Here is a 15837-nt window from a genome sequence, read left to right on the forward strand (position 1 = left end):
GGCCCTGTGTCCAGCAGCCTGCAAGGAACTGGATTCTGCCAACAACCAGATGAGCCGGGAAGCAGATCAATCACCAGTCACGCCTCCAGATGAGAACCAAGCCATGGCTGACACTATGGCTGCAGCCTTGCACTGAACACAGCTGAGTCATGCCTGGATTCCTGACCCACAGAAACCGTACAGTGATAACTGTGTGCTGTCTCAAGCCACAAAGTTTGCAGTAATATTGTTGCACAGCAATAGATAACTAATATAAAAACTGTCTTACATCATGTACATTACTGAGGGAAATGTAGAACCTGGATTTGAGCTCTGATTTCAGAGTTGTGGCCTCAGTCTCCCCAGGAAGACCTGTCCTGGGAGACAGTTATGCTAGGCTGTGATGCTGTGATTGTTCTCTTCCTACCCAGAAGCTTTCAATAGGCATGTCAAGCATGTGACCCCAGCTACATATACCAAATGTATTTCTGACAAATGCCAGGATATCGTGAACTTTCTTGTTTTACTGAGAGCTCCATAAAGGAAGGACCATCTCTGTCTTTTTTTTTTTTTTTTTTTTAAGAGTCTCACTCTGTCACCCAGGCTGGAGTGCAATGGTGCGATCTCGGCTCACTGTAGTCTCTCCCTCCTGGGCTCAAGGGATTCTCCAGCCTCAGCCTCCTGGCTAGCTGGGATCAAAGGCGTGCATCACCATACCCAGCTAATTTCATATTTTTGGTAGAGACGGGGTTTTGTCATGTTGGCCAGGCAGATTTTGAACTCCTGGCCTCAAGTGATCTGCCTACCTCAGACTCCCAAAGTGCTGGGATTACAGGCGTGAGCCACTGCACCTGGCCTGTCTTTTTTATGCTATGTCCACGTGCAACAGCCCAGTGGTCAGCACACAAATGGGTCCAAATGTGAAAGGAAAGGGCAAACACAGGGGAAACATAGGGGTGTTCAGAAATAGTTCCCAGGTCACTGCCTGTTTCAATATGTACAGTCCTCGGCCCCACCCACAAGATTCTGACTTGGCAGGTCAGAGTTGGAGATGGGAAGCTACCTGGTTATGAGGGATCCCAGTGCATTTTGAGGCAGCTGGTTGTTAGACTGCATTGTAAAAATTACTCCCCAAAGATGTGAAGTGAAACAGAAAGGCAAAGGCAGGCTAGAAAACAACACAAGTAAAACATGAACAAGTTCATTCCAGAAGGAGATTCTCAACCACAGCTGCACATCAGAATCAGCTGGGGAGATTTTGCAAACCCAGTGCCCAGGCTCTGCAACCCAGATCAATTATTACAGAATCTCTTGGGGATGAAACATGGGCATCAGTATTTTGTGTGTGTTTGTGTGTTGTTTTTTTTTTTTTTTTTTTTTTGAGATGGAATCTTGTTCTGTCACCCAGGCTGGAATGCTGTGGTGCAATCTCAGCTCACTGCAACCTCTGCCTCCCGGGTTCAACCCATTTTCCTACCTCAGCCTTCCGAGTAGCTGGGATTATAGGCATGCACCGCCACGCCTGGCTAATTTTTGTATTTTTAATAGAAATAGGGTTTCACCATATTGGGCAGGCAGGTCTCAAACACCCAGCCTCACGTGATCCTCCCGCCTTGGCCTCCTAAAGTGCTGGGATTACAGGCATGAGCCATTGCTCCTAGCAGTATTTTTTTAATGAGGCAAAATTCACATAACATACAAATCCCTGTATGAAACCATACACTTCAGTATCATTAAATACATTCATAATGTTAAGCAATCATCATCTCTGTCTAGTTCCAAAACATTTTCATTAACGCCCCCCGCCCCCCCCAAAAAAACCCTGTATCCATCAAGAACCCCACATCCCCTCCCCTTTCCCCCAGCTCCTGGCAACCACTTACCTGCTTTCTGTCTCTATAGATTTGCCTATTCTGGACCTTTCACATAAATGGAATCATGTAATATATATAATAACCAAAAGGTAGCAACAACCAAGCTGGCCATTTGGTTGATGAATGAATAAACAAAATGTGCTGTATCCATACAGTGGAAGCACTGGTGCCTACTACATGGGGATGGACCTTGCAAACATCATGCTAAGTGAGAGAGAGCCTTGTTATTGTCTCATCTCCCCAGGAGATTCCAAGGTGCAGCAAAAGTTGAGACCCACTGACAAGCAATGGATATGGTTGGGTGCAGATGAAATAAGGCAGCCAGGGACAGGAGGGACTTCTCATTGAAGATGACTATTTGTGGATGCCTAGCAGGGGTGGGGATGAGGTATGATAACAGCAACCCCAATCTCAACACAGCGTGACCGATTTTATCTTCAGTCAGCTGATACACCTCATGGGGTGTGGACACAGGACACTTCTGCCTCCCAGGCTCAAGTGATAACTCCTGCCTCAGCCTTCTAAGTAGCTGGGATTACAGGCATGTACCACCATGCTTAGCTAATTTTTGTATTTTTAGTAGAAACGTGGTCTCGTCATGTTGCCCAGGTTGGTCTCAAACTTCTGGCCTCAAATGATCCACCCACCTCAGCCTCCTAAAGTACTGGGATTACAGGCATGAGCCACAGTGCCCAGCCTCCAAATTCTATTTGAAGTTTGACTTTCCACCTCCAGAAAATCCAAACCTTTGCCCAAGTCACAGTGGGACACCCCGGAGTTAATTTGAGAGAAATGTGCTTTTAAAAACAACTCCAGGCCAGGCGCAGTGGCTCACACCTGTAATCCTAGCACTTTGGGAGGCCGAGGCGGATGGATCACGAGGTCAGGAGATCAAGACCATCCTGGCTAACACGGTGAAACCCCGTCTCTACTAAAAGTACAAAAAATTAGCCAGGCATGGTGGCACATGCCTGTAAGCCCAGCTACTCGGGAGGCTGAAGAAGGAGAATCGCTTGAACCACGAAGGCGGAGGTTGCAGTGAGCCGAGATCGCACCACTGCACTCCAGCCTGGGTGACAGAGTAAGACTCCGTCTCAAAACAACAACAACAACAACAACAACAACAACAATGATAAAAGGTCACCTTTACTGAGCACACACTATCTCAGTCCATCTCTACATCAGCCCTGTATTTCACCAGTGAGGAAGCTGGGACACAGAGTAGTTACGTGGGATGCCCAAAGTGGGACCACTCCTATGAAGTTTCAACACCCTAATGTGAGACCCTCCATGACCTAGCCCCTCTCTTTCTCCAGCCTCATTTCCTGATTCTCTCACTTGCCCTGCAGGCTTCAGCCACACAAACTTCTTGAAAGTCCCTTAAATCTGGCTGAGCGCAGTGGCTCATGTCTGTAATCCCAGCACTTTGGGAAGCTGAGGCGGGTGCATCACCTGAGATCAGGAGTTCGAGGCCAGCCTGGTCAACATGGTGAAACCCCATCTCTACTAAATATCCAAAAATTAGCTAGGTGTGGTGGAGGGTGCCTGTAATCCCAGCTACTCGGGAGACTGAGACAGGAAAATTGCTTGAACTCAGGAGGCAGAGATTGCAGTGAGCCAAGATCACACGACTCCACTCCAGCCTGACCGTCAAGAGCGAAACTCTTTCTCAAAGAGAAAAAAAAAAAAAAAAGTCCCTTAAATCTGCTCTATGCCTATCACCCTCAGGGACTTCACTGTGCTGTTCCTCACCCTGAAATGCTTTTCCTCATTTTCTACCTAGTGAATTCATCCCACCCCCTACACCTCTCCTTAAGTGTCATCTCTTCAAGGAAGATTTTATTTTTAATACAACTATTAAAATATAATTCAGGTACCGTATGATTTGCCCATTTAAAGTGAACAAATCAATGGTTTCAGTGCATTCACAGAGCCTCAGCAACCACTATTATGATCAATTTTAAAACATTTTCATCACCCCAAAAAGAAACCCTGTATCCATTATCAGGTACCTGCCATTTCTTCCTCCCACTAAGCCCTGACAATGTACTTTTTTTGAGATAGAGTCTCTGTCACAGGCTGGAGTGCAGTGGCACAATCTCGGCTCACTACAACCTCTGCCTCCCGGGTTCAAGCAATTCTCCTGCCTCACGAGTAGCTGGGATTACATGCATGTGCCACCATGCCCATCTAATTTTATATTTTTAGTAGAGACAGGGTTTCTGTCTTCATAGACTTGCGTGTTCTGCACATTTCATATAAATGAAATCTTATAATATGTGACCTTTTGTGACTGGTTTCTTCCACTTAGCCTAATATTCTCATGGTTCATCCGTGTTGTAGCACGTGTTAGTACTTAATTCCTTTTGATGACTGAATAATATTCCATTGCATGGTGAAACCATGTTCTATTACTCCACTCATCAGTAGACAAGCATTTGTGTTGTTTTCAATTTGGCGTTATTGTGAGTAATGCTGCTATGAGCATTTATGTACAAGTTTCTGCATAGACATATATTTTCATTTCTTTCATAAACTGGAGTGGAAGTGCTGGGTCATAGAACTCTGTGTTTAAGCTTTTGAAGAAATGCCAGACTGTAAGAAAGAAAGCCTTTCCTCACCCTGCAAGACTGAGCTCCCTCTCTCCATTTATGTGTTCTCTTTATGCCCTTTGCTTCTCTTTCAGAGCAATTCACGTTGACCTGGGTCACCCTCAACTTAAGGCTCATAACTCCCCTAGACCCTCAGGGCCCACACTAAATGTGATGAAATATGATGCAAGCCACACATTCACTTTTGCATTTTGTAGTAACCACATTTTAAAAAGTAAAACAAAAGAAGTGAAGGTAATTGGAATAATATCACAGATTTAAATAAATCTATCCAAAATACCAGGTCTACGTGTATAAAATATTTTAACATTAGTAAAATACTTTGCTTTCTTTTTATATTAAGGCTTCACAATCTAACGTGTATTTGACACTTCTCGCCCATCTCAGTATGATGGCAGCACCCCATATGGGAGGCCCTCCCATGATGCCAATGATGGGCCCTCCTCCTCCTGGGATGATGCCAGTGGGACCTGCTCCTGGAATGAGGCTGCCCATGGGAGGCCACATGCCCATGATGCCTGGGTGCCCAATGATGAGACCTCCTGCCCATCTCATGATGGTGCCCAGTCAGCCCAGAATGACTCGACCAGACAGATAAGGATAGAGTGGAAGCCTCATTACATCAGTGTTTGTTGTTGTTGTTGTTGTGTTTTTTTGTTTTGTTTTTGAGACAGAGCCTTCCTCTGTCACCCAGGCTGGAGGGCAGTGGCACGATCTCAGCTCACTGAAACCTCCACTTCCTGGGTTCAGGTGATTCCCCTGCCTCAGCCTCCTGAGTGGCTGGGACTACAGGTGTGCGCACCATGCCTGGCTAATTTTTTTAATTATAGTAGAGACAGGATTTCACCATGTTTGCTGGGATGGTCTCAATCTCCTGACCTCGTGACCCGCTTGACTCAGCCTCCTAAAGTGCTGGGATTACAGGCGTGAGCCACTGCGCCCGGCCTATATGAGTTTATATTTACCTGCTCCCTTCACCAGGAGATCATGCGCTGATACTGGGTTTTCTTAACAGCATAAGGAACACTTGCCCCCTTACCCTATCAAAGAGAATAGTTTTGGAGGGGAGAAGTGGGACCAAAAAAGACGCAGTTTTCATTTGTATTGGGAAATGTGAAAATAAAATTGTCAACTCTTTTAGTTAAAAACAAAAAAAAAGAAAAGAAAACAAGATGTGGGGCTGCCATGTGCAATACCGTGGTTTCCAAGGATCTTCTACTCTGGAGGCAAAGATTATCTTTCTTTGCTGAAGCCAGACCAACCTGACACAAAGACCTTTTGTTTTTTTAATGTGACTGTGTTTTATTTTACAATGTGTAATTCACTTTAGAAGAGCAAAGTACACGTTTGGGGAAGACTATTTAATTTCCTGCATTTATTTAGAATATTGGCTGATGTTACTATGAAGGGAAACAGCTCTAACAAGTGAGTGCCCCCCACATAGGCACAGCTCATGAGTTCAAGGGGCAAAGGAATTGAACAGCAGCTTCCTAATAGCCGGCCTTCTTTGTGGTATGGAAATAATTATCAGCATGTAAAAGACTATATATATATTCAACAATTCTGACCCCCTGCAAAATTCAAATCTACAACTGATTTGCTTCCTGGGCTCCTGAAAACAACTTTGTCATAACTGTTCAGAAATAAAATCACCCAATCGTTGCCCCTTGGGGACGCAGGACAAAGCAAGTCAGCCATGACCAATGTGGAGTCGGCCGTACACAATTACATGCAGACCTGCAGGGCATTGAGTCCCTGCTATGGTCCCTCCCCAGTCAGGCCCCCATTGCCTGGGCTGCAGCAAGAAGGATTCAGGCACAAGTGCATTCAACAAATACTTATTTAATTGTATTGGTGGTTAGAGGGTTGCCGTTGATTAAGGTACATTAATGGATCCATGTCCTCCCTGTATCCAAGACTCTGTCATTTGTCTCTGCAGTTCCTCCCACTGAAGAATCGGAGTATATTTCTCCAGCCGCTAATGTTGGATTTAGTCATGTGTCTAGCTTTGGCCACTGGAATATTAATCTGCATGACCAAAAACTTGGAAAGTGTGCATTCATTTGTGCTCGCTCACTCCTGCTATCACCATGAGAACAAGCCGAGGCCAGAATGCTGCTTCCAGAAGAAGACAAGAGACATCAAGTGCAAAGTCAAGCTTCCCAGACATGCTCATGCCAGATTAACCAATCCTCAGCTGACCCATAGATCCATGAAAATAAACAATTGTTGTATTAAGCCACTGAGATTTGGAGTGACATGTTATGCAGCATTGTGTGACAACAACTAATGGATACAAGGGTCACCATCCTTTATCTCTGTAGATTTTAACCAATTTTTAATAGCTAGATGGAGATCTTCTAGTTGCCCTTATTTATAATGAATATGACTGTAGAGCTAATTTGGCCTGACACTACCAGTAACCTACCCAGAAATTCAGAAATACTTTCTTCTCCAACCCGCCCCAACCAACCTTTTTTTTTGTTTGTTTTTGGGTTATCCTTCTTTGCCTAGGCTAGAGTACAAGTGGTACAGTCAGAGCTCACTGTAACCTCAAAATCCTGGGCTCAAGTGATCTTCCCCTTCAGCCTCCTGAGTAGCTAAGACTACAGACATGTGCCACCATGCCTGGCTAATTTTTTTATTCTTTGCAGAGACAGGGTCTCAGTATATTGCACAAGTTGGTTTCAAACTCCTGGCTTCAAGCAGTCCTCCTGCCTCATCCACCCAAGGTGCTAGGATTATAGGCATGAGCCACCATGCCCAGCCTCTTCTTCTTTTTAAATAGAAACACTATTTTATTCTGACAGTGGGTTGCTTTCTTTTTTTTTTTTTAAGAAAAAGTTGACCCAGCCCCAGGGAATAAATTCTGACTGTTCTAAACAGGGTTGGCAAACTATAGACCAGGGGCCAAATCTGGCCCTCTGACTGTTTGTATAAATTAAGTTTTACTGGAATAAACCCAGGTCCACTCATTTATGCATTGTCTACATATGCTTTTAGGCTACGATGGCACCACTGCGTCACTGCAACAGAAGTTATCTAGACCAAAAGCCTAAAATATTACCGTTTGCCTCTTTATGGAAAAAGTTTGCCATTCCCTAGTCTAAGGTTTAGAGTCTGAGCTTATCATTTTAGCCTAATCCCCCTTACCAGTGACTGGCTCAAAACAAGTCTGTGATTCCATTCTGACTGTTCTACTGAGGGAATTCCCCCTTCTTCTCATGCAGAGCTGATGAGGGTAAGTTGTATTAATAGGACATATGCTCAGGTTTTCTGAAAAATACTTTTATCTAGAAATGCATAGGAATATGCTGGTGCCTGAATGTACCATCTGGGGGCCTGGAGATTGACTCACACTGCCTCCAGAGCTAGTGCTCACACTTACTACTGAGAGGCCTGAGGAAACGCCTGCCTACCCACCACCAGAACCTGCACACATCACCTGGAGAACTAGAGATCAGACTGCCACACACACCACCCAGGAGCCCAGTGGCACACCTGCCCACCTGGCCCAGTGTTGCCACTGCCAGCAACCAAAGAAGCCACCTGGGGACCCAAGGATTGGCACATGCAGACAGGCTATCATCAGTGCCCATATACACTGCCCATGGTCCCTAGTATTGACCAACCTGGTCCACCACCACTACCACTGATGCTGAAGGACAAGACTTCCTGGCATCCCTATCCTCAGCAAAGCCTCACCACATCCTCCAATAACAACTGTGGTCTGTCCAGGCATGGTGGCTCACCCCTGTAATCCCAGCACTTTGAGAGGCCAAGGTGGGTAGATCATGAGGTCAGGAGTTCGAGACCAGCCTGGCCAACATGGTGAAAACCCCGTCTCTACTAAAAATACAAAAATTAGCTGGGCATGGTTACACGTGCCTGTAGTCCCAGCTACTCAGGAGGCTGAGGCAGGATAATCACTTGAACCCAGGAGGCAGAGGTTGCAGTGAGCTGAGATTGTGTCACTGAACTCCAGCCTGGTGACAGAGCTAGACTCCATCTCATCAACCACACACACACACACACAAAAACCAAAAAAAAAAAAAAAAAAACTGCAGTCTAAGCCACTGAATGACTCAGAGACACCACTCAGGCCAATTACAGCTGAAGAAATCATATGCAGACTATACCACTGTACCCACCCAGAATCAAAGCCAAAGTGTGGTATCCAATGAACATTGTAGATACAGCTATAAGAAAAGGTCTTTCCCATATAAAAGCCAATCCATAAAATTGGAAGAAGTGACTGTTATGTCAGAGGCACAGATAGTCACATAAGGATGCAAGAAATATGAAAAAGGAAACATAACATCTCCAAAGAAGCACAATAATTCTCCAGCAACAGATTCCAATGAAAAGAAAATCTATGAAATGCCTGAAAAAAATTAAGAATAATGTTATTAAAGAAACTCAGGGAGATACAAGAGAACACAGATAACGAATACAAAAAAATCAGGAAAACAATTCATGATCTGAATGAGAAATTCAACAGAGATAGACAGCATAACAAAGAACCAAACACAAATCCTGGAAGAGAATAAATCATTGAAAGAAATACAAAAGATAATTGAAAGCTTTAACAACAGACTAGATCAAGCAAAACAAAGAATTTCTGAACCTGAAGACTAGTCTTTTAAAATAATCCAGTCAGACAAAAAGAAAGAAAAAAGAATGAAGCAAGGCTACATGACATATGGGACACATATGTGACCAAAAACTGAAATTCTGGGAGTTCTGGATGGAAATGAGATGGGTAAAGGCATAGAAAACCTATTCAATAAAATAATAACTGAAAACTTCCTGAAAGCTTCCAAATGCAGGAAGCTCAAAGATTACCAAATAAATACAACTCAAAAAGGTCTTCTCCAAGGGACATTATGGTAAAATTGTCAAAAGACAAAGAGAAAATGCTAAAAACAGCAAGAAAAAAGCATCAAGTCACTTAGAAGAGAATCTCCATCAGGCTAACGGGATTTCTCAGCAGAAACCTTACAGGCTAGGAGAAAAGGGGATGTATACTACAAGCAAAAAAAAAAAAGAAAAAAATGTAAGCCAAAAATACTATACGCAGCAAAGCTATCCTTCACAAATGAAGGAGCCTGGCACAGTGGCTCACATCTGCAATTCCAGAGACTCAGAAGGCTAGGCAGGAGGATCATTTGAGCCCAGGAGTTCAAGGCTGCAGTGAGCTATGATCATGCCACTGTACTCCAGCCTGGGTGACAGAGTGAAACTCCATTGCTATAAAAAAATAAATACATAAATAAAAAAGTATTTCCCAGATAAGAAAAAGACTGTTTGGGTCTTGTTTGTTGTGGTCCTAGGGGAAATGCTTAAGAGAATCCTACATTGGGAAGCAAAAGAACAATATCTACCCTCAAGAAAATAGATGAAAGTATAAAACTCAGTGGCAGAGCAGACACACAAAGAAGAAAGGATTCAAACAACACCACTAAAGAAAACCACTGAACTGCAACCATAAATAATGAGAGAAAAAAGGAACAAAGGTGTATTAGTCTGTTTTCACACTGCTGATAAAGACATACCTGACTGAGACTGGGCAATTTACAAAAGAAGGATGTTTAATGGACTTACACTTCCACATAATTGAGGAAACCTCACAATCACGTTGGAACGCAAGAAGAAGCAAGTCATGTCTCACATGGATGGCAGCAGGCAAAGAGAGAGCTTCTGCAGGGAAACTACCCTTTTTAAAACCATCAGACCTTGTGAGACATACTCACTATCATGAGAACAGCATGGGAAAGACCAGCCCCCATGACTCAGTTGCTTCCCACCAGGTCCCTCCCACAACATGTGGGAATTCAAGATGAGATTTGGGTGGGGACACAACCAAACCATATCATTCTGCCCCTGGCCCTTCCCAAAACTCATATCCTCACATCTCAAAACCAATCATGCCTTCGCAACAGTCCCCCAAACTCTTAACTAAGTTCAGCATTAACTCAAAAGTCCACCATCCAAAGTCTCATGTGAGACAAGGCAAATCCCTTCCGCCTCTGAGCATGTAAAATCAAAAACAAGTTAGTTACTTCCTAGATACAATGGGGGTATGGGCATTGGGTAAACACAGTCATTACAAATAGGAGAAAATTGCCAAAACAAAGGGGTTACAGGCCCCATGCAAGCCCAAAATCCAGTGGGGCAGTCAAATCTCAAAGCTCCAAAATGATCTCCTTTGACTCCATGTCTCACATGCAGGTCATGCTGATATAAGAGATGGGCTCCCATGGCCTTGGGAGAAAAAAGGCCACAGCCCCACTCCTGTGGCTTTGTAGGGTATAAACCCCCTCCTGGCTCCTTTCATGGGTTGGCATTGAGTGTCTGCAGCTTTTCCAGGCACACAGTGCAAGTTGTCAGTGAATCCACCATTCTGGGGTCTGGAGGATGGTGGCTCTCTTCTCACAGCTCCACTAGGTGGTGCTGCAGTAGGGACTCTATGAGAGGGCTCTGACCCCACATTTCCCTTCTGCACTGCCCTAGTAGAGGTTCTCCATGAGTGCCCTGTCCCTGCAGCAAACTCCTGCCTGGATGTCTAGGCATTTCCATACATCTTCTGATATCTAGGCAGAGGTTTCCAAACCTCAATTTTTGACTTCTGTGCACCCATAGGCTCAACATTATGTGGAAGCTGCTAAGGCTTGGGGCTTGCACCCTCTGAAGCCATAGCCCATGTTGTACCTTGGCTCCTTTTAGCTGCAGCTTCAGTGGCTAGGACTCAGGCACCCTAGGCTGCTCACCGCAGGGGGGCCCTGGGTCCAGCCCAGAAAACCATCTATTTTTCCTAGGCCTCTGGGCCTTTGATGGGAGGGGCTGCCATGAAGATCTGTGACATGTCCTGTATACATTTTCCCCATTGTCTTGGGGATTCACATTTGACTCCTCGTTACTTAAACAAATTTCTGCAGCCAGAATGAATTTTTCTTGAGAAGATGGGATTTTCTTTTCTATTGCATTTTCAGGCTGCAAATTTTCCAAACTTTCAGGCTCTGCTTCCCTCATAAAACTGAGGGCCCTTAACAGCACCCAAGTCATCTCTTCAATGCTTTGCTGCTTAGAAATTTCTTCTACCAGATACCCTAAATCATCTCTCTCAAGTTCAAAATTCCACAAATGTCTACAGCAGGGGCAAAAAGCCACAAGTCTCTTTGCTAAAACGTAACAGGAGTCACCTTTGTGCCAGTTTCTGACAAGTTCCTCATTTCCATCTGAGACAACCTTGGCCTAGACTTTATTGTCCATATAACCATCAGCATTTTGGGCAAGTCTCTAGGAAATCTCTTCCCAATTTTCCCACATTTTCCTGTATCCTTCTGAGCCCTCCAAACTGTTCCAACCTCTTCCTGTTTCCCAGTTCCAAAGTCACTTCCACTTATTCAGGAATCTTTTAGCAACACTCCACTTCTGGTACTAATTTACTGTATTAGTCCATTTTCACACAGCTGATAAAGACACATTCAAGACTAGGAAATTTACAAAAGAAAGAGGTTTAATGGACTTACAGTTCTACATTGCTGGGAAGGCTTCAAAGTCATTGCGGAAGTCAAGGAGAGGCAAGTCACATCTTACAGGGATGGCAGCAGACAAAGAGAGAGCTTGAGCAGGGAAACTCCTCCTTTTAAAACCATCAGATCTCATGAGACTTATTCACTATCAAAAGAATAACATGGGAAATACCTGCCTCCATGATTCAACTACTTCCCACTGGGTCCCTCCCACAACACATGGGAATTCGAGATGAGATCTGAGTGGGGACATAGCCAAACTGTATCAAAAGGATATACAAAATAACCAGAAAACAATGAACAAAATGACAGGAATAAGTCCTCACCTATCAATAATAACTTCGAATATGGGTTAAATTACCTACCTAAAAGATAGAGACAGGCTTAATGGATAAAAAATGACCCAACAACGTCTACAAGAAACTCACTTCACTTGTAAAGACACACACAGACTGAAAGTGAAGGGATTGAAAAAGATATGCCACACAAACAGAAATCAAAAGTAACCAGGAGTAGCTAAACTTACATCAGATAAAACAGACTTTAAGTCAAAAACTGTAAAAAGGACAAAGAAGGTCATTATATGGTAATAAAGGGATCAATTCAGCAACAAACTGTAACAATTCTAAATATGCATGCAACCAACACAAGCACATCCAGACACACATAGCAAATATTATTAAATCTACAGGGAAAGATAGAGTCCAATACAATGATAGTTGAGAACTTCAATATCCTACTCTCAGCACTGGACAGTTCATCTAGACATAAAATCAACAAAGAAACATTAGATTTAAGCTGCACTTTAGACCAAATGGAGCTAACAGATATTTTCAGAATATTTCATCCAGCAGCAGCAGAATATACAATCATCTCATCAACACATGGAACATTCTCCAGGATAGACCATATGTTAGGACACAAAACAAGGATCAACAAAATTTTAAAAATTAAAATCATATCAAGTATCTTCTCAGACCACAATGGAATAAAACTTGAAATCAATAAGAAGAAGAAATTTGGAAACTGTACAAATACATGGACATTAAACATGCTATTGAATGACCATTGGATCAATGAAGAAATTAAGATGGACATTAAAAATTTTTTTAAACAGAAAACGGAAACACATCATGCAAAACCTATGGGATACAGCAAAAGCAGTACTAGGAGGAAAGTTTATAGCAATAAATGCCTACACCAAAAAAGTAGAAAGATTTCAAATAAACAACCTAATGATGAACCTCAAGGAACTCAAAAAGCAAGAACAAACCAAACACGCAATTAGTGGAAAGAAAAAATAATAAACAACATAGCAGAACCAAATGCAACAGAGACAAAAAAGAAATGCAAAGAATCAACAAGATAAAAGTTGTTTTTTTGAAAAGTTAAACAAAATTGATAAACCACTAGTGAGGCTAACCAAAAAAAAAAAAAAAAAAAAAAAACAAAAAAAAAGGAGACCCAAATAAATACAATCAGAAATGAAAAAGGAGACACTACAACTGTTACCAAGGAAATAAAAAGGATGATTAGAGGCTATTATGAACAACGATATCCTAACAAATTGGAAAACCTAGAGGAAAGGGATAAATTCCCAGACATACACAGCCTACCAAGATTGAACTAGGAAGAAACAGAAAACCTGAACTGACCCAAAATGAATAGCAGGTTTGAATCAGTAACAAAAAGTCTCCCAAAAGAGAAAAGCCCTAGACTAGGCTTTTATGCTGATTTCTACCCAATTTATAAAGAAAAACAAACACCAATTCTTCTCAAACTATTCCCAAAAATTGAAGAGGAGGGAATTCTTCCTAACTCATTGTATAAGGCCAGCATTACCCTCATATCCAATCAAGACAAGGACACAACAAAAAGAGAAAACTACAGGCCAATATTCCTAATGAACACAGATGGAAACATTCTCAGCATAATACTACCAAGCCAAATCTAATGATGAATGAAAAAGATAATATACCATGATCAAGTGGGATTTATCCCAGGAATGCAAAGATGGCTTAACATACACAAATCAATACATGTGATACATCACATCAACAAGATGAAAGGCAAAAACTATCTGATCATCTCAGCAGATGCAGAAAAATCACTCGGTAAAACTTACCGTTCCTTCAACATGAAAACTCTCAACAAATTATGCATAGAAGGAACACTTCAAAATAAGAAAAGGCATATATGACAAATCTACAGCTAACATCCTACTCACTGGGAAAAATTGAAAAGCCTTTCCTCTAGGAACTGGAGCAAGACAAGGATGCCCACTTTCACCACTCTTTATTCAACACAGTATGGGGCATCCAAGCCAGAGTGATCAGACAAGATAAAGAAATAAAAGGCATCCAAAATGGACAAGAGGAAGTCAAATTGTCTCACTTTGCAGATGACATAATCTTATACTTGTAAACAGAAAACCTAAAGACTCCACCAAAAAACTCTTAAAATGGGTAAATTAGGCTGGGCATGGTAGCTCATACCTGTAATCCCAGCACTTTGGGAGGCCAAGGTGGGTGGACCACCTGAGGTTGGGAGTTTGAGGCCAGCCTGGCCAACATGGTGAAACCCTGTCTCTACTAAAAATACAATTAGTCAGGCATGGTGGTAGGTGCTTGTAATCCCAGCTACTTGGGAGGCTGAAGCAGGAGAATCACTTGAACCCCAGAGGTGGAGTTTCAGTGAGCCAAGATTGCACCACTGCACTCCAGCCTGGGCAACAGAGTGAGAGTCTATCTCAAAAAATAAAAAATAAAAAAATTTTTAAAAAACGGATGTATAATTCAGTAAAGCTTCAGGACACAAAATCAACATACAAAAATCAGTAATGTTTCTATATACCAGTAACAAACTAGCTAAAATAGAAATCAAGGAAGAAATTCTATTTATAATACCTACAAAAATAAAATACCTAGGAATAAACTTAACCAAGGATGGGGAAAAAAAAAAAAAAAAAAACCTCTGCAAAGAAAACCACAAAACACTGATAAAATAAATTGAGAAGGACAGGAAGAAATGGAAAGGAATCTCATGCTCGTGGGTTGGAATAACTAATACTGTTAAAATGACCATGCTACCCGAAGCCATCTAGAGATTCAGTATAATCCCTATCAATTATATTCTTCACAGAAACAGGAAAAAAAACCCTGAAATTCATATGGAACCAGAGAAGACCCCAAATAGCCAAAGCAATACTGAGCAAAAAGAACAAAGCTAGAAGCCTCACATTACCTGATTTAAAAATATACTGTAAAGCAGCCAGGTGCGGTGGCTCATGCCTGTAATCCCAGCACTGTGGGAGGCCGAGGCGGGTGGACCACAAGGTCAGGAGATCGAGACCATCCTGGCTAACATGGTGAAACCTTGTCTCTACTAAAAAAAAAAAAAAAAAAAAAAAAAAAAAAAAATTAGCCAGGTGTGGTTGTGGGCGCCTGTAGTCCCAGCTACTCGGGAGGCTGAGGCAGGAGAATGGCGTGAACCCGGGAGGCAGAGCTTGCAGTGAGCCAAGATTGCGCCACTGCACTCCAGCCTGGGCAACAGAGCAAGACTCTGTCAAAACAAAACAAAACAAAACAAACAAACAAACAAACAAAATATATATATATATACTGCAAAGCTATAGTAACCAAAACAGCTAGTATTGGTATTAAAACAGACACAAAAACAAAGGAAACACACTAAAGAATCCAGAAATGAATCCACATATTTACAGCTAACTGATTTTCAAGAAAGCTGTCAAGAACATACATTGAATAAAGGACAACCTCTTCATTAAATGGTGCCAGGAAAACTAGATATCCAAACACAGAAGAATAAAACTAGACC

The 15837-nt window shown here is 42.5% G+C and overlaps 1 pseudogene; it reads left to right on the plus strand.

Moving 5' to 3' along the window:
* On the plus strand, window positions 4836–5612 carry SNRPCP10 (small nuclear ribonucleoprotein polypeptide C pseudogene 10; annotated as a pseudogene).

The sequence above is a fragment of the Homo sapiens genome, chromosome 3 (assembly GCF_000001405.40).
Source record: "Homo sapiens chromosome 3, GRCh38.p14 Primary Assembly".
Lineage (NCBI taxonomy): Eukaryota > Metazoa > Chordata > Mammalia > Primates > Hominidae > Homo > Homo sapiens.